The sequence below is a fragment of the Homo sapiens genome, chromosome X (assembly GCF_000001405.40).
Source record: "Homo sapiens chromosome X, GRCh38.p14 Primary Assembly".
Lineage (NCBI taxonomy): Eukaryota > Metazoa > Chordata > Mammalia > Primates > Hominidae > Homo > Homo sapiens.
The window spans coordinates 15,745,565-15,772,874 of record NC_000023.11 but is presented as its reverse complement, the minus strand read 5'-3'; the positions used below and the strand labels follow the sequence as shown (position 1 = coordinate 15,772,874).

The following is a 27,310-nucleotide window of genomic DNA, read 5'->3' as shown; positions in this document are numbered from 1 at the left end:
ACTTTGGGCTACTATTTGAGTCCACTTTCGAATTCCAGAAGAATTCAGTTTCAGGATCTTAAGGTTCATTTCAACTATATTATTTGAGATGAGAGAAGTTAACATTTTTACATGTCTTAGCTGAGAATGATCAAAACTGCCTGAGAAAGCTATTTAGCATTTATAGGAATCACCTGATTCTAATAATGTCTTACAACTAAAAGTTCAGAATTATCCCCACTTCTCTACAGTTGTCACTGTTCCTGACCTTCTCAACATACCTCTGCTGGGAAGCATTTGCTGTCCACGGTGTGCTCAGAACCCCAGGCATCGATGGCCCCCCAGTGAAAATGGAACTGCTTCAATCGGTAGTTGTGTTCCAGGGGTCCTCCCTTGATCACTAAAATGGCACATCCAACAATTCAGGGAAGAGTTATTTGTGCAGTGGAGGAATGTGGGTGAAAGGCCAAATCTCCAATGGACCCTCCATGTGAACTGTCTTAAATGGATTACACTGAATTATATACAAGTGATTATAAATTTGATTTTCATGAAGTCAATGCACGTATAAGGACAAGACCAAATAACATCAAGATTTAACTACATAACAAGCTACAAACAATTGTTAAAGGCCAACTCTTGACTTAATTTTATATCCTATATTATTGTGTCCAGTTTTCTTTTGTGTGCAATAAAATGCAAATTTCTCTCAGCACATTTATCCAACATGACTTTATAATACTGAAATATGGGGATAAAAGGATCTTTCTTTTTTTATGCACAGACACTTTGCTTTTCAAGTTTTGAAGATACTAGTGTTGCTTTCCCTTTCATTGAAATGGAATAGGACATTTGCAAGTCAAAAATGATCACCTGGGAGATGTTGGTCAAAAGGTACAAAGTTTCAGTTAGGAAGAATATGTTTTCAAGATTTATTGCACAGCATGGTGACCATAGTTGATAATAATCTATTGCACATTTCAAAATTACTAAAAGAGTAACAGTAGATTTTCTCGCTACAAAAAAAAAAATGGTAAGCATGTGAGGTGATGGATATTTTCATTGCTTGATATAATCATTCCACAATGCATACATATATCAAAAGATTACATTGTACCTGGTAAATGTATACAAATATGTCAATTGAAAAAACACACTGGCCGGGCCTGGTGGCTCACACCTGTAATCCCAACACTTTGGGAGGCTGAAGCGGGTGGCTCATCTGAGGTCAGGAATTTGAGATCAGCCTGGCCAACATGGTGAAACCCCATGTCTACTAAAAATTAAAAAAAAAAAAAAAAATTAGCTGGGCGTGGTGGCCCATGCCTGTAGTCCCAGCTACTCAGGTGGCTGAGGCACAAGAATCACTTGAACCCAGGAGGCGGAGGTTGCGGTGAGCTGAGATCGTGCCACTGCACTCCAGCCTGAGTGACAGACCGAGACTCTGTCGCAAACACACACACACACACACAAATTATTACCAATATATTATAGGCAAAATATTGACAAGTGTTTTTTTTTTTTTGAAACAGGGTCTTAGTCTGTCGCCCAAGCTGGAGTGCAGTGGCACAATGTCGGCTCACTGCAACCTCTGCCTCCTGGGCTCAAGCCATCCTCCTACCTCAGTCTCCTGAGTAGTTGGGACTACAGACGTGCATCACCATGCCAGGCTTTTTTTTTTTTTTTTTTTTGTAGAGATGAGGTTTTGTCATGTTGCTCAGGCTTGTCTTGAACTCCTGAGCTCAAGAGATCCACCCATCTCAGCCTCCCAAAGTGCTGGGATTACAGGCAGTTGAGCCACTGCGGCTGGCCCAGATAAGATGTTTTTGGCCGGGCACGGTGGCTCATGCCTGTAATCCTAGCACTTTGGGAGGCTGAGGCGGGCGGATCATGAGGTCAGGAGATCAAGACCATCCTGGCTAACATGGTGAAACCCCGTCTCTGCTAAAAATAAAAAAAAATTAGCTGGGCATGGTGGCGGGTGCCTGTAGTCCCAGCTCCTCGGGAGGCTGACGCAGGAGAATGGTGTGAACCTGGGAGATGGAGCTTGCAGTGAGCCAAGATCACGCCACTGCACTCCAGCCTGGGCAACAGAGAAAGACTCTTTCTAAAAAATAAAAATAAATAAAACATAGAAAAGAAAAGGAAAGGAAAGAAAGAAAGAGAGAGAGAGAGAAATAGACTGTCAAGCAGCTGTCAGGCTAGTTAATTGGGATGTCACTGGTAACCTCAGCAAGATTAAAGGAAAAAGGTGGGGTTGGGTGGGGCAGATGAATGCAGGAAAGAAGGAAATATAGTCATCAAGAAATGGGGCAGGCCCAGCAGTGGCTCACACCTGTAATCCTAGCACTCCGGGAGGCCAAGGTGGGAGGATCACTTGAGGCCAGGAGTTTGAGACCAGCCTGAAAAACATAGTGAGACCCAGTCTCTACAGAAAAAAAGGAAAGAAACAAAGAAATGGGGCAGGTAGACAGAAGATAGTGAATTGGAAAGCAAAGCAGTCATAACACATATCAAATAAATATATACTTATGTATTTGAGGTTGTTGATATTTTATTCTTTTATTTTTTAATTTTTTTTTGAGACAGAGTCTCACTCTGTTGCCCAGGCTGGAATGCAGTGGCACGATCTCGCCTCACTGCAACCTCCAACTCCCAGGTTCAAGTGATTCTCCTGTCTCAGCCTCCCCAAGAAGCTGGAATTACAGGCGTGTGCCACCATGCCCAAATAATTTTTGTATTTTGGTAGAGAAGGAGTTTCACCATGTTGGCCAGGCTGGTCTCGAACTCCTGACCTCAAGTGATCCACCCACATCGGCCTCCCAAAGCACTGGGATTACAGACATGAGCCATCATGCTTGGCCTGATATTTTATTCTTTCCATGCTCTAAGATGAGAAAGGATTAAACTTCTAAAAAAATTACATAACAAATATAAAACATTCAGCAGAGAGTCTGGCTGGTAGTAAGCAATCTGTAATATTCACTCCCTCCTTTTGTTTTTCAATGTGAAAGAGAAGGAGCTGACAGAGAAAGGGATGGTGAAGAGAAAGGAAATACACAGAACCCACATAAATAAAAGCAAATGCAGGAAATGGACACAAGGAATGCTTCTGGGGTGATGGAAATGTTTTAAAATTAGACTATAGTGATGGTTGCACAACTCTGTAAATTTCCTTTAAAAATCATTAAACTGTGTGTGTGTGTGTTTTAAACTGTGTATGTGTGTTTTAAAGTAAATGTAGGACCTAAAACAGGGAAGGAGAACTTAAATGTTTGTGAAAGCATTCTTACTAGGTTCACTGGCACTGCCGCAAAGAAGTGTAAAGTCAGGGAAGCAGGATGGAGCAGGAAGCACCCTGAGGAGGAGAACAAAGGCACTCACCTCTCCATCTCCTTAATGCCTGTTGACAGTGCCAATAAGAGGAATTCCAGAGGAGATGATAATTGACAGGGATCATCCAGGGACAATTTAGTGCCCTTCCCCACAGTATTTCGACTCTCTTATATGCACTCATTCAAATCAGTAACGGTGTCCTACTCAGGGGAACCAAATACCAAACAACACCCAGGAGAGGACTGCGGTATGAGATGTTCACATACCTTCTCTTATAATCCTATCAAGGTAGGTAGGTCATGTTGTCCTCTCTTTCATTCCAGAGTTTAGTAATTTGAGTCTTCTTTTATTTTTTTCTTGGTCTCCCCCAATTAAAAGTTTGTGAACTTTGTTGATCTTCCCAAAGAACCAACTTTTGATTTCATTGATTTCTGCTCGTTCTTTATTATGCCCTTCTCTCTACTTGCTTTTGGGTTTAGTTTGTTCTTCTTTTTCTAGTTTCTTAAGGCGGAAAGCTGAGATACTGACTTGAGAAAGTTCTTCTCTATTGTAGGCATTTTCATCTATACATTTCCCTCTAAGCACTGCTTTAGCTGCATCCCAAAAGGACTGGTATGATGTTTTTGTCACATACCTTCCCCAGCTCCTTTTCCTTGCACTTTATTCCAATCCTCACAAAGCACACTGTGGCAGCATTTCTTAGGGTTTTGTCTTTGAAATTTATAGACATCGATATTTATTAGGTTTTTACTTTTCTAGAATTGTTTCTTGCCTTTGTTTCTAAAATGTCTTGCTTTCTTTCACTTTTTATTTTTTATGTTCATTCACTCTTTTTTTCCTCTTTGCATGCTATTGATTGTTTTGCAACAACATGGAGAAATAGCAGCAAAGAATAAACAGGAAATAAGAGGCAGTCACTGAAAGGTGGAAAAAGAGAGAGAGAGAGAGAGAGAAAATTAGGTAATTACTAAAAATTGATGCTATCTTAAAGAAAATAATTATTAAAGCATAATTTAAAAGGGCTATCAGTTTTAGTTCTTTCTAACCAAACAAAAAAATTAGCAAACTCTCTACAAGTTTTCTTGCATATTTTGTAAGTGTGTGACTGACACTCCCAGGGAAGACAGGTTCAAGGGGTGATTTAGTCAGTTGGGTTTGTAGGTATCTAAAAAGAAGCTATTATGACAAAAACGTTGATGACTTGTTTTCCATCTAAGATTACTCATGCAAATGGGTAGATAAGAATTCTTGAGGCCTGGCTCGGTGGCTCATACCTATAATCCAAGCACTTTGGGAGGCCGAGGTGGGAGGATCACTTGATCTCAGGAACCCCATCTCTACAAAAAATACAAAAATTTGCCGGAGCTGGGAGCAGTGGCTCACACCTATAATCTCAGCACTTTGGGAGGCCAAGGTGGGCAGATCACTTGAGGTCAGGAGTTTGAGACCAGCCTGGCCAACATGGTGAAACCCGTCTCTACTAAAATACAAAAATTAGCCAGGTGTGATGGCATGTGCCTGTAATCCCAGCTACTCAGGAGGCTGAGGCGGGATAATTGCCTGAAGCCAGGAGGTGAAGGTTGCAGTGAGCCAAGATCACGCCACTGCACTCCAGCCTGGGCGACAGAGTGAGACACCATCTCAAAAAAAAAAAAAAAAAAAGGCCAGGTGCAGTGGCTCACACCTGTAATCCCAGCAATTTGGGAGGCCGAGGCAGGTGGATCACCTGAGGTCCTGAGGTCAGGAGTTCGAGACCAGCCTGGCCAACATGGTGAAACCCTGTCTCTACTACAAATACCGAAAATTAGCAGGGTGTAGTGGCAGGCACCTGTAATCCCAGCTACTCAGGAGGCTGAGGTGGGAGAATCACTTGAGCCCGGGAGGCAGAGGTTGCAGTGAGCCGAGATCACGCCATTGCACTCCAGCCTGGGCAACAAGAGCAAAACTCCGTCTTAAAAACAAAAACAAAAACAAACAAACAAACAAAAAAATTAGCCGAGCGTGGTGGCACATGCCTGTGGTCCCAGCTACTCGGGAGGCTGAGGTGGGAGGATTGCTTGAGTCCAGGAGGTTGAGGCTGCAGTGAGCTGCAATCATGCCACTGCACTCCAGCCTGGACAACAGAGCGAGACTCTGTCTCAAAAAAAAAAAAAAATTCTAGAATCTATTGTTCAAAAGAAAAAGAGAGGACTAAAAGATAAAACAGCTATTTACCCTGAAAGTTCTTGGGCTCAAGTCACTTAGTTAAGAAACTCATTAAGCAACTTTCTAAGACTTCCAACTCAATGAAGCAATGATATATTGGCAACAGACAGTCCCTATACTGTCAAGGGCTTTAGAAAGCTGACCAATACCAAGGATCCCCAGAAGAAAGCAGGCTGCTAGGGCCCTAGATGGGGTTGAGAATTCAAAAGGATTACTATGCATGCAGAGTAAATGGATGAGGGTTGGTATCCTATAGACTGGGTCTGCCCATTAGTTTACGTCTGGCAAGGATAATGGTAGAGCCCCATGGGGGACAAGTAGAGCTCACCAGAGTGCCAGACAGTCATCCAGAACACAGGAATTTAGCTTGTTGTTTTGAAGATTTCTGGAATCCGTATAAACAAGGTAATATTATGGACTTCCAGTTGAGAAGGGGGCACACTCTAGAGTTTTGGGGAAATTAAGAAAGATGCATGATGAGGGGTATAATAAAAGCCCAGACTTCACCGCTACACAATATATCCATGTAACAAAACAAAACTAAACTTATACCCACTAAATATATTTTAAAAGAACATATATCAGTATCATTTTTCTTTCTTATCTTTTTTATTCCTCCCTTCTCTAGCTATTCCACCAACAGACCCAGATGGCCTTAAACAATGTTTCCCAAAGGATGGCACATGAGATGGTTTTATGTGGTACAAGAAGCTTTTACTTGTATAGTAAGTTACTTTAAGAGAATTAGAAACAATATAATGAAACACATCAACCTGTGAATTCACAAATATAAAATTTAAATAAATAACAACGCAAAAAAAGGGGGGAAAAGAAAGATGCCCATGAATCTGGGGGAAAAAGAACTTCCTACTTTGAGATATGAAAGTAAGATGTTCATGGTTTTGGGGCTGCGTCATACCATGGAGGAGAAAGGAAAGTTGGGGACATGGAAACACCTAAATTCTTAGACAGACTCAAATACCTTCTGAATCATGGCAGAGACACATATCAGAAGGGAGAAAACCAGACAGAGATTAAGCCCACTGGAGGAGCAGTCTGTTTGTAGTTAGGCCAGAGTGCCATGTCTAAGTATCAGAGCATCACTAGGAAAATACAAAGAAAACAAAGACACAGTTGAGACTCAGAGCCAGGATAAATGCAGGAGTGAATATTTACTTTTTTTTTTTTTTTTTTTTTTTGAGACAGAGTCTCACTCTGATGCCAGGCTGGAGTGCAGTGGCGCGATCTCGGCTCACTGCAACCTCTGCCTCCCAGGTTCAAGTAATTCTCCTGCCTCAGCCTCCCGAGTAGCTGGGATTACAGGCATGCGCCACCACACCCGGCTAATGCTTTGTATTTTAGTAAAGATGGGGTTTCACCATGTTGCCCAGGGTGATCTCGAACTCCTAAGCTCAGGCAATCCACCCACCTCGGCCTCCCAAAATGCTGAGATTACAGGCATAAGCCACCGCTCCTGGCCTCATTATCATTTTTATGGACTCATTTCCTAACATTCATGAGAGAAAACAAGTTTCCTTGAGATCAAGATTTCTCCGCTTCAGCTCTATTGATACTGCAGGCTAGACAACTCTTCGTTAAGGATATCCGGCGCACTGCAGGATCTTTAGTGGCATCCCTGACTTTGACACACTAGATGCCAATTTCATTTCCCAAGTTGTGACAATGAAAAACGCCTTCGGATCCTACAGCGGGGAGTGAGGGATATGGAGGGGTATGGGGGAAAGTTGGCAGAATTACCACTGGTTGATAACCACTTTAAACTATTCCAAATAATAATTATTTTGAGACTAATTTGGACTATTTGACATCATCAAATGCAGTAAAACAAACAAGCAAACAAAAAAAAAGGGAAAATAAACCTTCACAAAATTAACCACCTTCTGTCTTCCATAGACACTATAAGTTTCAGGTAAACTTTGAAATCATTCACATTAGTTTACATCCAGGAAGGTGAAAAAAAAGATTCAAAATCAATATAATATTTGAATTTTAAAAACTCTTTTAAATTGTGTTTCTTTTAAACTAGGTAGGTAACACTGTTTATTTAACAAAATTACCAGATCATAAGTTTCCATTTCTCTAATACATGACTAGTCTTTGCAACCTAATGCACACATGAATATCCTTTTGGCCCCATTTCAAGTGTATTGTAATCTGCTAAGTTAACTCTGATTAAACAATGTTACTATTTAATGTAAAAGTTCTCATAAAGTCAACAAGCAAAGGAAAAAAATTAGTACATATTCAATATACACATACAAAATAAATTTCTGGTAAAACTTCCATTGCACACCTATGCTCTATACCAATTATAAATCTATACATAGAGAGATAGAGATATATTTATTAATTAAAAATACTACCTATACTAGTTGAAGAAAATATGCATAAAAACTAGAAGGAATTTTTTTTCACACATTCAAAAAGTTAAGATCAATGAGTTCCATGCCATTGCTCACAAAGAGGTCAATACTATCATGGAGAGAGTTTGATGTGTCCTCTGTTAACATGACACTGTTTCTTTAACTCCTTACAAGACCACCAGATCTTGCCCTCACCTGATTTATCTGTAGAATCTTCAAATTCCACGAGGAAAGAGTACCCATTATTCCAGACGTGGAGGCAGGTGGCTGGGTCATAAGAGATGGTCAGTGGTTTTAAGCCGGGATCATAAACACTGTCCCTCCACCGAATGTTGATGGGTGACTGGCGATCGCCCCCAGGAACCAGGTCCACGCTCTCCCAGAGTGGATGCACTAGGAGAAAGCAGGTCAGCCTATTATCAAGACTGTTGGACCGAGTGCAGTGGCTCACTCCTATAATCCCAGCACTTGGGGAGGCCAAGGCGGGTGGATCACTTGAGGCCAGAAGTTTGAGACCAGCCTAGGAAACACGGCGAAACCCTGTCTCTACAAAATATGCAAAAAATTATCCAGGCGTGGTGGTACACACCTGTAGTCCTAGCTACCGGGGAAGCTAAAGTGGGAGGATTGAGCCCGGGAGGTCGAGGCTGTTGTGAGCCATGATAGCACCACTGCACTCCAGCCTGGGCAACAGACCCAAACCATGTCTCAAAAGAAAAAAAAAAAAGCCTGTCTACTGTACTTCTAGAGAACCTGTCAGGGCTAATGGAAACTAAAAGCCTTAGGAATTAGCCACTATGATGGTTACTTTTAGCTGCTGACTTGACTGGATTAAAGGATACCTAGAAACCTGGTAAAGCATTATTTTGGGGTGTTTCTCTGGGGGTGTTTACAGAGGAGACTAGCATGTAATTCTGAGTGGACTAGGTGGGAAAGATCTGCCCTTAATGTGGGCAGGTATCATCTAAACTGCTGGGGGGCCAGAGAGAACAAAAACATGGAAAAACTGAATGTGTCCATCTATCTGCTGAATCTTGGATACACTCTTCTGCTCCTGTCCTTGGGTAACAGCTACAGGCTTCCCAGCCTTTGGACGCCAGAACTTACACCAGCACCTCTCTGGGTTCTCAGGCATTTGGCCTCAGACTGAGAGTTATACCATCAGTTTCCCTGGTTCTAAGGCCTGTGTCTTGGACTGTCCCATACTACCAGTATCTCAGGGTCTCTGGCTTGCAGATGGCCTGTCATGGGACTTCCCAGCCTCTATAATCATGTGAGCAATTTCCACTAATAAATTCCCTCTCATCCATCTCTCTATATACCTTATTGGTTCTGCTTCTGGAGAACCCTGACCAATACAGCCACTTAGGGGTTTAATGGATACACAAAAGTAGAGGATAAAGATAGGTCAGAGAGCACCTGGCAGAGGAATAGCATTTTGGCATCTTGCAAAACCAACACATCTCAGTCTGCTTACTAAGCTCACCTAAACCAAGTGCAATCAGTGCTGTGATCACAATATAATGCATGGAGTTTGGTGCCATGTGGAAATAGGGTATTCATAAATGAGTTTCTTTTCTTCATCGAGAATTTCCCAACCCCCAACTCCCCAAAGTGGCTTTAAATACAAAGACAAATTAATTCAATTTTCAATAACAGATTTATTTTCAAAAAAGGAAATGGGAGAACTTTGGGAAAGGAAACATTGAATCAGTATTGTCAGCGTTTAATTGGTTGGCTGGTAGAAAAAAAGGCTTGCGTAGCCTGCATCCTGTAAGATGCTCGCCCCACATAACTGTGCGTGCTGAGTTGAGTTCACCTCCTATGTAAGCAAACTCTGAGGACCAGGCAGCCATCCTGCAAAACCTGGGTAGAACATCGGCATTGCTAAGGTCCCTGGAGGTTGCAGTGTGTCACAGGGATGTGGAGATTATCTATTAAGGTGTACACATATAATTTATCCTCCACAGGCACTGAAGACATTGCTGATGCTGATTTTCTTCCAGAGTCAAGCACCAGGTCTCTGTAGCAAGTCCCTGATAAGTATCAGCAGACTTGCTGATAACACAGATCAGCCTGTTGAGACCCCCAAGTGTGATGAGCAGAACCAATGTACATCAGTTTGGGGTGGTCCATTTCCCTGTCCTTTAGAAGTACCATGGATGGGTAGAATCAAGAACAACAGGAAAACTAGGAGAAACATGAAGGAAATAATTACCAACGACCCTCTGCATCTCGCCCCACCACTAAGAATAAGGATGACACTGGCTGGGCATGGTGGCTCATGCCTGTAATCCCAGCACTTTGGCGGATCACGAGGTCAGGAGATCGAGACACAGTGAAACCCTGTCTCTATTAAAAATTAGCCGGGTGTGGTGGCACACGCCTGTAGTCCCAGCTACTTGGGAGGCTGAGGCAGGAAAATCGCTTGAACCCGGGAGATGGCGATTGTAGTGAGCCGAGATTGCGCCACTGCACTCCAGCCTGGGTGACAGAGTAAGACTCTGTCTCAAAAAAAAAAAGAATAAGGATGAGACTAAGGTAGTTGTTTTGTTACTCTGTCAAATCCCTCACGTATGGCAGCATCATCTCCTATTTCCATGAAAAGCAGAAACCTGCCTCTGGTTTACTCTGACAGAGCAGATAATCCTCTTCCTTCGGTAATTGCTGAAAGCCGGAAGTCAATACCTTTTTTTTTTTTTAGATGGAGTCTTGCTCTGTCTCCCAGGCTGGAGTGCAGTGGCATGATCTTGGCTCACTGCAACCTCCGCCTCCTGGGTTCAAGCAATTCTCCTGCCTCAGCCTCCTGAGTAACTGGGATTACAGGCGCATGCCACCACACCCGGCTAACTTTTGTGTATTTTTAGTAGAGATGGGGTTTCGCTGTGTTGGCCCGGATGGGCTTGAACTCCTGGCCTCAAGTTATCCACCCACCTCAGCCTCCCAAAGTGCTGGGATTACAGGCGCAAACCACTGCGCCTGACCGTAAGTCAGTATCTTAACCTCAGTGTTTTGTTTTGTTTTGTTTTATTTATAAAAATGCTCCAGCAATACAGACAAAGAGCTCTCCTGAGAGTGCCTAAATCAGTGGTTTTCAACAGAGAAAGCAATTCAGTCCCCCAAAAACATTTGGCAATGTCTGGAGACATTTTCAGATGGCAAAACTGGGAGAGGGTGCTAGTGACATCTAGTGGTTAGAGGCCAGGGATGCTGCTAAAGATCCTATAATGCCCTGGATGGGCTCCCCCCGACAAGACAAAGAAGCATCCTGACCCAAAAGCCAATAGTGCCAAAGTTGATAAACCCTGGTCTAAAGATAAAAGGTGCATGCAAACTCATAATACTCTTTTCTTTCTATTTCTTCATATAATGCAGTACTGTCATCTCTGGAGAGGTCTGAACCCAATGTTCTGGGTTTTTTTCTTTCCTCAGTATAAAACAACTTGTGAAGAACAAGAACTTTAAAGAACAAGAAGTTTCTGTTTCAGAAAACTAAAATGGAAAATGCACATGAACTGGCACATCTGAAATGGAATCTGGGCCATACTGTCATAATCTAATTAGAATGCAAATTCCTTGTGGGCAGGAGCCACATCTTCCTCCTTTTTTGTTGCCCTGTGGTATCTTATTAAACATATGCCCTTCTGGAAAACATCCTATTAGGTACTATGTTCACTATCTGGATGACAGGATCAATAGAAGCCCAAACCTCATCACCATGCAATATACCCATGTAACAAATCTGCATATGTAAACCCTGAATGTAAAATAAAAATAGAAATTTTAAAAAAGAAAGAAATTAACAATTTGAAAAAGCAATCATGGCAACTACGCAGCAGCCAACATCATAAAATATACAACCTCAGGGTCTAAAAATGTTTAGTAATTTTATCCAATAACATATAATATACCGTATTTTTCATCTTAGAGGGAAAGATGATCTTAAATTTCTGTTACATTTGGTTCTGTTATATCCACCCAAACACTTGGATTCATATTCATCATGAATAAACATCTCTTTTAAAGGCAAAAATAAAAAATAAAATAAACATATGCCCTGTAACATATCCAACTGCCATTGTTGGGGGGGAAAAGCTCAAATTCAAATGACTTGAAAGGATTCAAATGATCTGAAAAATGATTCAAATTGTGTTAATTTTTTAACTTCTAGAAAGCCCTTGAAAGGCCCTGATTCTGTTTGTAAAGATTCCTGACACAAAGAGACTATGCACCTTCCCCTCTGAGACACTCAGACTGTGGCTGATAATTTGAGAGTACACACTCTTCAAAGCCATTCAATGAGGGTCTCCTGTGACAACTAGGGAAGAACTGGAGTGATTAGGTCCCTAAGACGACGCCTTGGTCATCCTTAATTTTTCCCCATCTCATGCATGAAATGGGAAGTATCAACACTCACACTCATGCAAATACCAGCCCAAGAAAACTGAGCCTGTTCCTTCAATTGCTCTTTAATGACCATAATGACAAGATCAGTTTATGCCCTTGAGTTTACAAGTTCAGCTTCCAGAAGGTTTCTTTCCTCCTACCCACCTCCCTCCTCCTTTACTAAACTAGACCATCTAGGTTAGACCATCCAACTCACTGTGTGGGGAGGGGGTCCTTGGTCACTGCCCCCTTACTGAAGCCAATTTTTTGCCAAGGGTTTGTTTTGCTAAAGATAAACTGACACTTTTGTTCTCTCCTACTCCCTTCCTTTTCCTCTATTTAAGCAAAAATCAGATCGAAACAATTTCCTGGTTGTTGCTCATATTTTACCTCAAAAATAAGATGATTAAGTGGTCTAACAGAAGCTTCATTTTCAGGTTCTTCTTGTATAGGGAAAATGAAATAAACAGATAATGATTTTATCAACTGTGGTTTATGCTAACAAAGGCATACTGTCATTAAGAAAGTGTTGGCCGGGTGCGGTGGCTCATGCCTGTAATCTCAGCACTTTGGGAGGCCGAGGCAGGCAGATCACCTGAGGTCAGGAGTTCAAGACCAGCCTGGCCAACATGGTGAAACCCCATCTCTACTAAAGATACAAAAAATTAGCTGGGCGTGGTGGTGCGCACCTATAATCCCAGCTACTCGGGAGGCTGAGGCAGGAGAATTGCTTGAAACCAGGAGGTGGAGGCTGCAGTGAGCTGAGATAGATTGTGTCATTGCACTCCAGCCAGGGCGACAGGTCAAGACTCCGACTCAAAAAAAAAAAAAAAAAAAAAAAAAAAAAAAAGGTGTCAGTAATTTCTAGCTGATGGGCAACAAAAGCCCTGCAAAGGATTCCATGTTGAGGAAGTGCTTGATTTTAGTTGTTTATATGAGTAGTCCTAGGTTTGGTTTATTTTGTGCTTTAGCACTGTCTTAGTCCATTCAGCCTGCTATGACAGAATGTCATAGACTAGGTGGCTTATAAATAAGAGAAATTTATTTCTCACAGTTCTGGAGTCTGGGAAGTCCAAGATCGAGGCACCAGCAGACTGGGTGTCCGGCAAGGTCCTGTCTTCTGGTTCATAGACAGCCTCCTTGCTGTCTTCACATGGTACAAGGTACGAGGGAGCTCTCTGGGGTCTCTTTTATATTGGGAACTAATCCTATTCATGAGAACTCTGCCCTCACGATCTAATCACCTCCCCAAAGCCCCACCTCTTAATACCATCACCTTGGTGGTTAGGATTTCAACACACAAATGTTAGGGGGTCATGAACATTCAGTTTGCTGCAACCACCTATTTCCCCAGCTTTGGCACTGTCCTTCTTTCAGCCCTTGAAACACGGAAAGCTCATTCCTGCCTTAGTCCCTTTCTTCGTGCTCCTCCTCCACAGAAATCAACTACCCCTCATTTGGCTCAGGGCTGGCTCCCATTATCTTTAGGTCTTGGGCTTAATTGTTACCTCCTTGACAAAGTGACCTCTGGCTACTCTCTTATAATATGATCACTTCATATTATAATTTTTAAATCATAGCACTCCGATTTTTCTTTCATGACATTTATTACATAGGTGCAGTTATAATTATATGCGTATGTGTCTAATTATCTGCCTTCCTCACTGCTCTGTAAGCCAGCTGGCTTTCGGTTAATACTTGTGGATGGAATAAGATGAGGAGCATCACTGGGAAGATTTGTGCTATGGTGTGAATGTATACGTCTCCTCAAAATTTAGCCAGGCAGCAGTGGCTTGCACCTGTAATCCCAACACTTTGGCAGGCCAAGGTGGGCAGATCAATTGAGGTCAGTAGTTTGAGACCAGCCTGGCCAACATGGGGAGACACCATTTCTTGTAAAAATACAAAACATTAGCTGGGTGTGGTGGCTCATACCTGTAGTCCCAGCTACTTGAGAGGCTGAGGCAGGAGAATCTCTTGAACCCGGGAGGCGGAGGTTGCAGTGAGCTGAAATTGTGCCACTGCACTCCAGTCTGGGCAAGAGAGCAAGACCCTGTCTCAAAAAATAAAAAAATAAAAATAAAAAAATAAAACCCAAAAATGTACACGCTGAAATCCTTTTCCCCAAGGTGATGGTATTAAGAGCTGAGGCCACTGGGAGGTGACATAGTCACGAAGGCAGAGCTCTCATGAACGGGATTAATACCCTTATAAAAGAGGCTTGAGAAAGCTTCTGAGCTCCTTCCACCACGTGAGGATGCAGCAAGAAGGCAAATTCTTTGAAGCAAAGAGAACCCTCATCAGACACTGAATCTACTGGCACCTTGGTTTTTTGGACTTCCTGGCCTCCAGAACTGTGAGCAACAAATTTCTGTTGTGTATAAATTATCTAGTCTGAGGTACTTTGTTATAGCAGCCCAAACAGAATAAGACAGTTTGCTTCTCCTTTTTGCTTTATTTCATTATTTTTCTTTAAGAATCATTCAGGTTTATCTCTTCTTCACCTTTCCCAGAACAGCGGCCTAGTTCAGAACCCTAACCCCCAGACTTCATACAAAGCCTCTTGGTTGCTTTTCCTCTTTTCTAACTCTCCTCTACTCCTGAGTTCTGCCACTCAGCAATTTTCCTAAATAACCACCTTTGTCACATTGCTCCTACGCTAAAAACAGTATATCAAGTTGTAACTTCTATGTTCAATGCCCAGGTTTTCCTATTAGAACCCATCTCACTTATCTAATCTCATTTTCCTCATTCTTCCCAAACTCTGGTGTTCCTATGTACTTTTCTTGTCATGCTGTTCCCCTTAGCATGCTACTCTTCTTACAACTGCCTGCCTACACAAGTTTATGTCTACTTTGGGGTTTTTTTTTTTTTTTTGAGATGGAGTCTCGCTCTGTCACCCAGGCTAGAGTGCAGTGGCACGATCTTGGCTCACTGCAACCTCCACCTCCTGCGTTCAAGCAATTTTCCTGCGTCAGCCTCCCGAGTAGCTGGGATTATAGGTGCCTGTCACCATGCCCGGCTAATTTTTGTGGGTTTTTGTTGTTGTTGTTGTTGCTTGTTTGTTTTTGAGACAGAGTCTCGCTCTGTCGCTAGGCTGGAGTGCAGTGGCGTGATCTCAGCTCACTGCAACCTCTGACTCCCAGGTTCAAGCGATTCTCCTGCCTCAGCCTCCCACGTAGCTGGGACTACAGGCACCCACCATAATGCCCAGCTAATTTTTCTATTTTTTAGTAGAGACGGGATTTCACCATGTCTTCAGTAGCCAGGATGGTCTCGATCTCTTGACCTTGTGATCTGCCCGCCTTGGCCTCCCAAAGTGCTGGGATTACAGGCGTGAGCCACCGCACCTGGCCTAATTTTTGGTATTTTTAGTAGAGATGGGGTTTCACCATCTTGGCCAGGCTGGTCTTGAACTCCTGACCTCGTGATCCACCCGCCTTGGCCTCCCAAAGTGCTGGGATTACAGGTGTGAGCCACTGCACCCGGCCATCTACTTTGGTTTTTAAAAACTTTTTTTTTTTTTTTTTGAGACGGAGTCTCACTCTGTTGCCCAGGCTGGAGAGCAGTGGCGCGATCTCGGCTCACTGCAAGCTCTGCCTCCCCGGTTCCTGCCATTCAACTGCCTCAGCCTCCCGAGTAGCTGGGACTTACAGGTGCCCGCCACCACACCCGGCTAAATTTTTGTATTTTTAGTAGAGACGGGGTTTCACGGTGTTAGCCAGGATGGTCTCGATCTCCTGACCTTGTGATCCACCCGCCTTGGCCTCCCAAAGTGCTGGGATTACAGGCATGAGCCACTGCGCCTGGCTAAAAACTTTTTAAATAAAATTTTTTGTAGAGATAGGGTCTCACTATGTTGCCCAGGCTGGTCTTGAACTCCTGGGCTCAAGCTATCTTCCTGTCTTGGCCTTCCAAAGTGCTAGGATTACAGGCATGAGCCCCCACACCTGGCCTTTAGCCCCACTTTGGCTTGTGCTTAGAAGCCCTTCCTTTTCCTTAACACTTATAGAAATCTTTTCCAGTTCAAGTCTTATCTCCCTGATGACATATTCTCCAACCATCCTGAGCTTTGCTTTTTCTGAACACACACTGAATTTGCTTTCATACCATTTAGCATCCAACCATTCCTCAGGTAATCTGTGTTTGCTTTATCTGCCCAAAGGGCCTGTGTCAACTCCAAGCCCATGAGGTCTGTGTCCTCCACTTTTTCTATAGTCTCCAGGGCTTTACTTGGTACAAGGCACAGAAGAGGTACTAAATGCTTATTTTACTGATACAGAAAACCAAACAAATTGATACCAAGGCTCTCTACCCATTACCTCACAGCCACCATCTCTCTACCAGGCAAGCTGGTTTACCCTGAACACTTCTTAGGTTCACCTAATCGTATCTATCTGTTATTCGTTTGTTCCTTAAAATTCTACTAGGCTTTCAAGGTCAGTTCAAGCCCCTTCTCTGACACTCCCACCTTAAATAAAGCATCTTTCAACTGTTCTTACTCCTCAACACCTATTCTCTCTGTTCCTGAGCTCCCCAATATGGTAGCACTGTCCCTGTGTGCTAGTCTAAATTGAGATGTACTATATAAATGTACAATACCAGGAACTTCAAAGGCTCAGTACAAAATAAATAATATTAAAATTTCATTTATAATTCTTATATTCATTTCATGTTAAAGTGATAATATTTTAGATATATTTGGTTAAATAAAGTATATTAGTCAAACTACTTTGACCTGTTTAACTTGCACTTTTTAAGATGCGGTTATTACAAAATATAGAATTACTCATATTTTTATTTTATTTTATTGTAGAGATGGGGTGTTGCTATGCTGCCCAGGCAGGTCTCAAACTCCTGGCCTCAAGCGATCGTCCCACCTTGGCCTCCCAAAGTCCTGGGCTTACAGGCATGAGCCACTGTACCTGGCCTATTAGAAAATACAGAATGACCCATACGGCTCATATTTGTGGCTTACGTTATTTATCTACCGGAAAGCATTGCCTTATACCCTCATGTGCTTTTTATCTGGTCCCTTGCTATGCACTGCCCTTTTTATGAGGGATGTGCTACTTCCTCATGTTACTGAAGATATCCGTGTAGGCCTTGGCCTTAATGCAGTGATGGGTGTATACACAGGGACCCTCCATATGACTTGGTTGAGGATGATCGCAGAATCACAAATTGCCTTGTTAGAGCATCATCAGGGCTATAAAAGGAACTTGGATGCTGAGTCCATTAGCCACAGGATACCTGTGCAGTTATCAGCACAGGAGACTACAGCCCACATTTCCTGATGGTCAGTTCCAGGGCTATTTGTCAGTCCCAGGCAGCTGAAGATAACCCTGAGGCCATTAATGCAATTCTAAGTGGCTCTTAATCAGCTCATTTTTTCTCAAGGTTACTTGCATGTTAATAAAAGACAATCTAGGGGCATCCTGAGTCTATATTTCAGAATTCTTTGTGAAAACACTGCAAAACAAGCTTTTTCTTACTCTCCAGGCTTTATTTTTATTCTTCAAAATTAATTGGAGAAATAATAGAAAAGCTTTCAAACACAGTACAGTTATGATATAGATTACTGCTGTCAAATAGAACCCTCTCTGATGATAGAAATGTCCAGTATATTAAGATCTAGGCATATGTAGCTATAAAAATTTAATGAATTTAAATTTACATGTAAATACCCACATGGGGTTAGTGGCTGCATTTTATACACTGCTGGCTTCTTTAGTCCCTATTATCCTAACATGTTTATCTTTCTTCTACAAGTACGGAGATCATCAACATTAAGAATCATTGGAATAACAAATCAGTATCATTTCCATTTTACCTGATATTCTTTATATTTCATTCAATTAAGAATTATTAAATGCACTTTCCTATGGTCTAAGATCTCATGCCTAAATCTTCTTATGTGACCATTAGACTAAATTTCACCAGATGATACCTAAGGGAAACTGATTTTATTTCCACATTGGATAATAGGTATAGGCTTTTATCTTTATCTTATTATATTACAAGTCTCCAAAGTTAGGACTATCAACAGTTACTGTCTGCTACCTGAGATAACACCAAACAGCAATCTGAGTTGACAGCCAAAGATTCAAAGATATGATGAGCACAGAGCACAGGGCTGACCTGAAATGCTGCTTTCCGAATTTGCCACAACCTCCTACTTTCATTCACTCCTTATTTTGCTTTGCCTCCTCTTAAAATGGTCAGATTTAAACATCTGAGGCAGGCACTGAGCCTATGATGATGATAACAACTGTAGTACTAGAAGTAGCTGCCAACACTGAGTCCTCACTGCGTGACATCACTAGCTAAGGACTTTGCACATGTGAACCAGAAATGAAATTGTAAGCTACCCAACGGACTGAATGGATCCCCCCTACCCTGGCCAGGGGGATCCCAAAGAAACCTGAAGAACTAGTTCAGGCCATGAGGGGAAGAGAGGTTGGGCATGCCTCATTATATACCCTCCCTTTAGAGTTTAGGCACAACTGACCAGCTTTAACACTCAAATAGAGATCATAAGACTGACATAACAGAATCTTTGTAGCAATACAATACCTACCTCCAACCTGACCCTGGTAGAGCATCACATGACAGACAGCAGGCTCTGAAAGAAATCAAAGTATTTTACCCCGAAATTCATTTATTTATTTTTTGGGAGAGAATTTCGCTCTTGTCGCCCAGGCTGGAGTGCAATGGCACGATCTCAGCTCACCTGGAACCTCTGCCTCCTGGGTTCAAGTGATTCTTTTGCCTCAGCCTCCTGAGTAGCTGGGATTACAGGTGCATACCACCACACCTGGCTAATTTTTGTATTTTTAGTAGAGATGGGGTTTCACCATGTTGGCCAGGCTGATCTCGAACTCCTGACCTCAGGTGATCCACCTGCCTTGGCCTCCCAAAGTGCTGGGATTACAGGCATGAGTCACTGTACCCAGCCTTACCCCAAAATATATTTCTTTGACATATTTTGAAATGGCCCTGCAAAGCCATCCCTTGTGGGAGAAATGTCCATTCTGTAGAGAGCCCCTGTCCCTTTCCAGGTCTTTTCCTGATCCAGGAGAGATCTGACACCTTTTAAGGTCCCATAAGAGAGGTTTACCATCTAATCTCTCTGAAGCCTGCTACTGGGAGGCTTCATCTACATAACAAGAACCTTGGCTTCTACAATCCCCCTTATCTTAACTCAAGCATTTCTTTCAGTTGACTTCAACTCTTTAGGCAAAGCTTAACTTTTTCAACCAACTGCCAAACAGAAAATCTTTGAATCCACTTACTTATGACCTGTAAGCCCCTGCTTAGAGATGTCCTACCTTTCTAGGCCAAACCAAGTGTTGTCGAAAAGAGTCGAACTCTGTAAAATATTTGAAGAGATTTATTCTGAGCCAAATATGGGTGACTGTGGCCTGTGACACAGCCCACAGGAGGACCTGAGAACATGTGCTCATGGTGCTCAGGGTACAGCTTGTTTTTATACATTTTAGAGAGGCACGAGACATCAATCAAATACATTTAAGAAATGCATTGGTTTGGTCCAGAAAGGCGGGACAGCTCAAAGCTGGGGTGGGGGTTGGGGGGGCTTCTACGCTATAGGTAAATTTAAACATTTTCTGGTTGACAATTGGTTGAGTTTGTCTAAAGACCTGGGATTGGTAGAAAGGGAATGTTCAGGTTAAGATAAAGATTGTGGAGATCAAAGTTCCTTTGAAGTCTTATAGTAGCTGCCCTTAGAGACAATAGATGAGAAATATTTCCTATTCAGATCTTAGTTAATCTCTTTAGGATTGGGAGGGTCTGGAAAAAAAAGATCTAGCTATGTTAACAGAGATTTTTTTTTTTTTTGAGACAGAGTCTCGCTCTGTCGCCCAGGCTGGAGTGCAGTGGCGCGATCTCGGCTCACTGCAAGCTCCGCCTCCCGGGTTCACGCCATTCTCATGCCTCAGCATCCTTAGTAGCTGGGACTGCAGGCGCCCACCACCACGCCTGGCTAATTTTCTGTATTTTTAGTAGAGACGGGGTTTCACCGTGTTAGCCAGGATAGTCTTGATCTCCTGACCTTGTGATCCGCCCGCCTCGGCCTCGCAAAGTGCTGAGATTACAGGCGTAAGCCATCGCGCCTGGCCCAGAGATTCTTTACAGATACAAATTTTCCCCCATGCAGAACAGCTTTGCAGGGCTATTTCAAAACATGGCAAAGAAACATGTTTTGGGGTAAAATATTTTGATTTTCTTCTTTGTCTTGTAATGTTATGCCAAAGTCAGCTTGGAAAGTAAATCACGATATATAGGGTTGAATAAAACCCATCTGGTGAGAATTTATGATTTGTGGGGCATGACTCCCCAGACCCCTTAGATAGGAATTTGGGCAAGATAAAAAAAAAATCAGAGTTTCGTCCTCACAATGTATACCTTACATGTATTGATTTATGTCTTGCGTGTAACTTCTGTCTCCCTAAACCATGCTGTAACCCAACCACCTTGGGCATGTGTTCTCAGGACCTCTTGAGGCTGTATCATGGGCCACAGTCACTCATATTTGGCTCAGAATGAACCTCTTCAAATATTTTAGAATTTGGCTTTTTTCATTAACACGTTATCTTTTCAAACCCTCAAGAATCTGGGGTCATTCTTGGTCACAAGTGTACATTGGCCTTCTGTTGGGGTATTGAGCTGTCAGAAACAATGAGAATTGTCTTTACAATTGAGCAGACGAGGGTCCAGAACATAGAAACAGGACCGGCTCGAAGGCCCAGAGCAGCAAAGACCACAATATTATTCTTGGGGCAAACAGGTTGGAACAGTATAATATGCTACAAACAAAATCAAATGGTGACTGTCCCCTGTTTTTCCTAGTAACTTAGAAACAAGAACATGTCATCTGTTGTGGGAAATTCACTAAGTAAAACTGCCCCTCCCGAAGCCACTACTGTTTGTTTTTTTTTGTCAGCACTAAAAGCAGCAAACTATCCTAACTACATACGTATACCGGATTTGGATGTTTAATTTCAACTGTCAAAAAAAAAAAAAGCAAAACTATTAATACTTTCCAATATAAACCATAGACCACAAAGTGCCAGTGTTCAGAATAAGCCAGTCTCAGTAGGATGTGGCATGTTTGTAGGAAACCACACCTAGCAACCAGAAATTTATTATGCCTCTGGTCCGTTTATTTGAAAAAGAACACAGTCAATGTTGAAGGAAACAAAATAAACTTACAGTGAAAATATATTTGTAGAGCAGTTTCAAGCCCTTGGATGTAGCTAGATTAGCATTACTAATTTACAAGCATTCCATTCTTACTCAGTCTTTTTATTATGTGCATATGGGGTCAAAGAAAATAAACACTAAAGGGGAGAAACCTAGACCTCAGTGCAGTCCAACATTTGAAAACTCTGTGCCAATGTTTTTTAAATAATGGAAAACATGAAAAATTCCTCCTTAATGATAATACTTAGCCATTTCATCTCTTCATTAACTCAAAGTTATCTGTTCACAAATACACACATTATCCTTTCCCATTCTCTCAACTGCCCTCTCTAGGGCAGTCACGCAGAGCATGTTTGGCAATGTCTGCAGACAGTTTTGGTTGTTATAGCTTCATGAGGGTGCTACTAGCAACTAGTAGGCAGAGGCCAGGAATGCTGCTAAAGACCCTCCAGGGCACAGGACAACCCCCTACAACACACAATGATCCATCCTCAATGTCCATCATGCCGCAGTGGAGAATCCCTGCCACATCCGGACATGGGCAATGCCTTGTATTTCCAGGAGGGGAACGAGATGAGAGAGGTGTGAGGAAGACCATTTCCTGCCTCACTCAATCTTCCATCCTTACAGCAGAGCACACACTTGCAAACTGATCAGCTAGAATTAATTCAGTAATTCCTAACTCAGGACAGAATATTCCAGAACGTTGAAGCTAGTAAACTGTTTACAAACATTTACATGCAACTTCCAGAAACTTAAGGTTCCCAGAAATAATTTGTGGTTTGTGGATCAACCTTTGTTTAAAAGAAAAAAAAAAAGACAATTGCTACCAAGAAATAATAAACAACAGGTTCCAAAATATTAAAAACCGGGATCTGTCTCTTGTCCAGTTTCTGCATGACATCATTTTAACATGCTAAAATTAGTCAAGAAAGAACATTCTACATTTACTTTCATGAATCAACAGAGAAACAGTTATTCTCACAGTTCATAAGGCATATAATCCTACACTGGAAAGCCAAAGACAGCATAGCTACAAATGTTTAACATGTGTGATTATTATAAAGATGAGTATTTTTGCTCTTGCACACTTGCTCCCTCTTTTCTTTTCTCTTTTTTTCTAAGAGATGAGATTTCACTCTGTCACTCAGGCTGGAGCCCTTTTTGTTCTCTTTAAGGAAGTGGTGTACTCACAGGCTCGGTTCCGGGTTTTGTAAGTACAAGTATAGAGGCTGCAGGGCCTCGCTGGCATGAATCTCGGAATCTGGAACTTTCTCCACAGCAATTTGCCTGGAGAGGCTTGAAGAATGACCCTCAGGCTGTTCATCACCACCATCTTTAGCTTGAAATCTTGATCAGTTCCCAGTTAAGTTGCAGGAACTTAATAATCTAGAGGGATGAGGGCAGAGGAGGGAAAGCTGTAAACAACAGAAACTTAAGATGATGGAGAAACCTCTAAGCAGGACAATATTCAGACTAGCAGTACACACCCTGAGGTGGAGGGAGGGAGGGCAGATGAGAGTCAACGGTTTATCCACTCTTGTTCCTCAAACTCATTGGTCCCCTCAGTGGAGGGCAGGGAGGGTCCTGAGGACTGACTCACATGCTTTGCCTTTCCCTCAGGGTTGGCGAATATTAGAAATCCAGAGAAAAGCTTCTCTTTATCCACAAGAATGAAAAACTGTTTACAGTACAGTTTCTTAAAAAAAAAAAAATTGCTCCAGGAAATCCCAATTAATTATCCAGCATGGTATTTACATGTACGAAGAACCCCAACATTAAAGCTCCCTCCAGGCTGACTAAAAACAAACATCTGCATCTAGATTGCATACAAAACAACAACAACAAAAAAACAAAAACAAAAACAAAACAAAAAACCCAAGATACATCCTGCCAAAATAGTCATGGACAGTTTTGAAATCTGAGCTTAAATATAATCTATGACTCTTTGCCAATTTTAGGTGTAACACAATGGCCCTTGAACATGGGAAAACAGACAAAGTTAATCCTGAATTCTCTCTCTACCTTTCACATGGTCACAGTCAAAGTCTCAGAAGATGAAGATGATGCTTTCCAAGGTATTCACTATGGTGTTCTGAAGTTATGGTAATATTAACTTTGAACACTTTCCCCACCACAATACTGCTTCATCCATTTTCCCTGAAAACTATCCCTATTCCATTCTGAAATTTTGAAAAAAAAAAAATCAATTCTTCTTGGTTACACATTCATTCCACTACAGATTTAGAAGTGTTTAGTCTGAGTACTTGAGACACATTCAAACAGATGTTCAGGACATCCTTTGTGCAACCATGACTGTGGTGTGGCTGCAAGGCCATGTGCTCTGGGCCTGCTAAGATCTCGGCCTCACATCCATTTGCACTCCTGCCTGCCCACCAGCTACGTGGGCTTCAGATCTTCCAACTCCTTTCTTTCCCTCCGACCTGTGCAGAGGCTCTTTTTTGTATTTTTCATAGAGATAGGGTTTTACCATGTTGGCCAGGCTGTTCTTGAATCCCTGATCTCAAGTGATCCTCCCACCTCAAGCCTCCCAAAGTGCTGGGATTACAGGTGTGAGCCACTGTGCCCGACCATCCCTGGCTAACTTTATTTTTTTTAGAGATGGGGGTTGGCGGGGGCGGGGGGGGGGGTTCTCACTATATTACCTGGGCTGGTCTCAAACTCCTGGACTCAAGCAATCCTCCTGCTTAATGGCCTCGCAAAGTGCTGGGATAACAGGTGTGAGCCACTGCATCTGGCCTGCTTATAGTTTTATGTGTGTGTTTGTGTATATACATTTTTGAACGGAGCATGTATGTCAAAATGCACCTTATTTAAGAGATGCAAATGTTTGACTCAGGATATCAAACATGGACTGGTAATCAACTTTCAAGGGATTATCTTGATGGTGCCTTGAGCTAAATAATAGTGATATAGGAGTTAAGAAGAAATTACTTAGGCAGATAGTGAGGATATGGGAGTCCTCAGTAAGGTTTTCCTTTTAATAAAAAGCAGCCCCCAAATCATTTTCTTTCCTAACAAAGAGCAGCCTGTAAAATTGAGCTGCAGACATAGACAAGCAAGCTGGAAGCTTGCACAGGTGAATGCTGGCAGTTGTGCCAATAGAAAAATACTACATAGGACTAGGCATGTTCCAAATGGCGGCTTCATCTTCCCTTTGCCAGCTAAGTGTACAGTAAGGAGCAGACAAGATGGCACTGGCCAAGTAGAAAGCCCCTTTGCAAAATAAGATTAGGGTGGGGCGACCAGCCTTCCTGCGTGCTATGTAAATGTCACACCTGGTCGAACCAATCTGTGGCCCCTATGTAAATCAGACACCGCCTCCTCAAGCCTGCCTATAAAATCTGCTGCAGTCCGCCACTTGTCCCATTTTTGGACGCCTCTCTTGCAAGAGAGAGAGCTGCTCTCCTCTCGCAAGAGAAAGAGCTGCTCTCCTCTCTCCTTTCTTCTGCCTATTAAACTTTCCTCTCCTGAACTCCACGTGTGTGTCCCTGTCGTTAATCTTCTCCGTGTGAGACACCGAACCCAGGGTATTTACCCCAGAAAACAAAGCCGCGTCATTAGCACCCTGTTTTCAAATAACTTCCTTAACTGAATTAACTGAGCAGACTTAAAGAACAATAGGCCATTGGCAACTTCAATTTAGAATCTCACTCTGCTTTGTTTTTCTTAACAAAGAAAAACTTTATTATGGAAAACTTAAATTTTATACAAGTATAGTGAGAACACTATAATAAAACCACCCATGTACCCAATATTCCATTTCAACAATTGTCTGTTCATGGCCAATCAAGTTTTATTTATACATCTTCTACCCCCCCTCCTGCCATTTTTCCTCCCCAGCTTATTTTGAAGCAAATTCCCAGACATCCTATCAACTTATCCCTCATTGTATTTTTGAAATCAAAGGACACTTTGATCTCATCTCCTCCTCAAACAATCAGCAGCAAGCCTAGCCACCTCCACCCATTCCCCTAAACTGCCTTTGAAAAACCCGTAACCTATGAGCTTTGGAGGAGATTATTTCAGTACTAATTCCATCTCCCACATGGTGTGGCCAGCCTCGTGTCTACTTAAACTCTTTCTTTACTACAATGCTGAAACCGCCTTTGCAAAATTATAACTGAGGAAATTATGACAGTGAATAAAATCAGACCTAATCAACTCCATCTTGCTTCTAACCTTTAGGCTGTCTTTGTTCATTCCTGGACATAGGCTGAACTAACTTTGGGAAAGAATTCAGTTCATGGTGTGACTCTGAAACAAAATTGATAGCAGCCCTTTCCCAAAAAGACCCCCTTCTTGCCTGGGGACGAGTCTGCCTCTGCAGGACTAACAACTTAGCTAGTGGTTAGAAATTATAGTTTAGGGGTTGTGCAGCCTCTGGCTCAGAGTCTGAACCTCCCCAAATTGCTCCTTGGGATAACATCACTATTGTAAAACCTAAGATCAGCGCTTGAGATATTTTGCAGACCCTGCACTTGATGGATCAGCTGACACCACCCAGACCCGTAATCTGGCTCAACCAGTTCTGCCATCCTACCCAGGAACAAAAGACAGCAAGAAAACCTCACTTCAACCCCCTATGATTCCATCTCCAACCTGAGCAATCAGCACTCCCCACTTCTCAAGCCCTTACCCGCGAAATTATCTTTAAAAACTGATCCCTGGATGCTCGGGGAGACTGATTTAATAATAAAACTCTGGTCTCCCACACAGTTGGCTCTATGTGAATTACTCTTTCTCCATTGCAATTCCCCTGTCTTGGTAAATCGATTCTGTCCAGGCAGCGGGCAATGTGAACCCACTGGGCGGTTACAATGCCCCGTGGTCTTTCTTTGTGCAGCAGGCAGGAAGAATCCCTTGAGTGGTTACAATAATATGAACTGAAATGGTTAAGATTAATGCTTAAAGTACACCCTTAAATTTATGCAAGAATCTAGAACCCAAGGAGCAGGAAAAATAGTTGCTCAGTTACACTATACAAGAAGTTTGGCCAGGTGCAGTGGCTCACGCCTGTAACCCCAGCACTTTGGGAAGCTGAGGCTGGTGGATCATGAGGTCAGGAGATCGAGACCATCCTGGCCAACATGGCGAAACCCCATCTCTACTAAAAATACAAAAAATTAGCCGGGCGTGGTGGCGTGCACCTGTAGTCCCAGCTACTCAGGAGGCTGAGGCAAGAGAATCGCTTGAACCCGGGAGGTGTAGGTTGCAGTGAGCCGAGATCATGCCACTGCACCACTGCACTCCAGCCTGAGTGACAGAGTGACAGAGCGAGACTCCGTCTCAAAAAAAAAAAAAAAAAAAAAAAAAGAAGTTGACGCTTTCTGTGGCTTCAAATGGTGCAAGCTATGAAAGCTCTTTGAAAAAGCTGCTAAGTGTTATATAAATACAAGTTATTATTACTCAAATTGATTTTGTTAAAATGCTACCCATCATATAAATGCAAAAAGCTATGAAAATAGTCATTTTGGACGACTTTTAGTATCATTTTTTTGTTTTCTTTTAAAGTCAATAAATATCCCCAAACAAACAACTGCAACTAATCAGGATTCCCTCTGATAAAACTGATTTGACATTAAAATGAAATTTCAAAACCTTCTAAAAGATATGGGGAAAGCTTGCCTTAACTGTTCTTCCTTTCCATTGATTTCCAGTCCTGAACTGAAGGAACAGTGAGTGATTATCTCATGTCGAGCACTGTGCTGTGTAAAGATGAAAAGATCATGCTCTTTCCCCACTCCCACAAGCTTGCAATCTACAAAGAAAAA

The 27,310-nt window shown here is 42.3% G+C and overlaps 1 protein-coding gene and 1 long non-coding RNA gene across 3 annotated transcripts in view, besides 3 other annotated features; both read right to left on the bottom strand.

Moving 5' to 3' along the window:
• Positions 1–27,310, bottom strand: part of CA5BP1-CA5B (CA5BP1-CA5B readthrough) — a 112,954-nt gene that overhangs the window by 15,537 nt on the left and 70,107 nt on the right. Inside the window, exons 5-8 of one of the 2 annotated variants that reach the window (NR_160544.1) lie at positions 22,710–22,904; positions 8,100–8,297; positions 3,582–4,232; positions 261–379 (exon numbers count right to left, since the gene is read on the bottom strand). This is a non-coding gene — a long non-coding RNA (CA5BP1-CA5B readthrough). Of the gene's footprint in view, positions 1–260; positions 380–3,581; positions 4,233–6,696; positions 8,298–22,709; positions 22,905–27,310 lie in introns of those variants that run through there. The other variant, NR_160545.1, reaches the window with a different exon arrangement.
• Positions 1–27,310, bottom strand: part of CA5B (carbonic anhydrase 5B) — a 50,142-nt gene that overhangs the window by 15,537 nt on the left and 7,295 nt on the right. Inside the window, exons 2-4 of the mRNA NM_007220.4 lie at positions 22,710–22,904; positions 8,100–8,297; positions 261–379 (exon numbers count right to left, since the gene is read on the bottom strand). Of these exons, the coding sequence (NP_009151.1) occupies positions 261–379; positions 8,100–8,297; positions 22,710–22,851 (459 nt within the window). The 5' untranslated portion in view covers positions 22,852–22,904. The remainder of the gene's footprint in view (positions 1–260; positions 380–8,099; positions 8,298–22,709; positions 22,905–27,310) is intronic.
• Positions 2,844–3,687: an enhancer, noted in NCBI's record as "OCT4-NANOG-H3K27ac hESC enhancer chrX:15787311-15788154 (GRCh37/hg19 assembly coordinates)". NCBI's record gives its function as "activates a minimal SCP1, AML or CMV promoter by ChIP-STARR-seq in naive and primed H9 embryonic stem cells {active_cell/tissue: H9 hESC(naive and primed)}" and the evidence as "EXISTENCE:reporter gene assay evidence [ECO:0000049][PMID:30033119]".
• Positions 19,226–20,011: an enhancer, noted in NCBI's record as "NANOG-H3K27ac-H3K4me1 hESC enhancer chrX:15770987-15771772 (GRCh37/hg19 assembly coordinates)". NCBI's record gives its function as "activates a minimal SCP1, AML or CMV promoter by ChIP-STARR-seq in naive H9 embryonic stem cells {active_cell/tissue: H9 hESC(naive)}" and the evidence as "EXISTENCE:reporter gene assay evidence [ECO:0000049][PMID:30033119]".
• Positions 24,844–25,705: an enhancer, noted in NCBI's record as "NANOG hESC enhancer chrX:15765293-15766154 (GRCh37/hg19 assembly coordinates)". NCBI's record gives its function as "activates a minimal SCP1, AML or CMV promoter by ChIP-STARR-seq in naive H9 embryonic stem cells {active_cell/tissue: H9 hESC(naive)}" and the evidence as "EXISTENCE:reporter gene assay evidence [ECO:0000049][PMID:30033119]".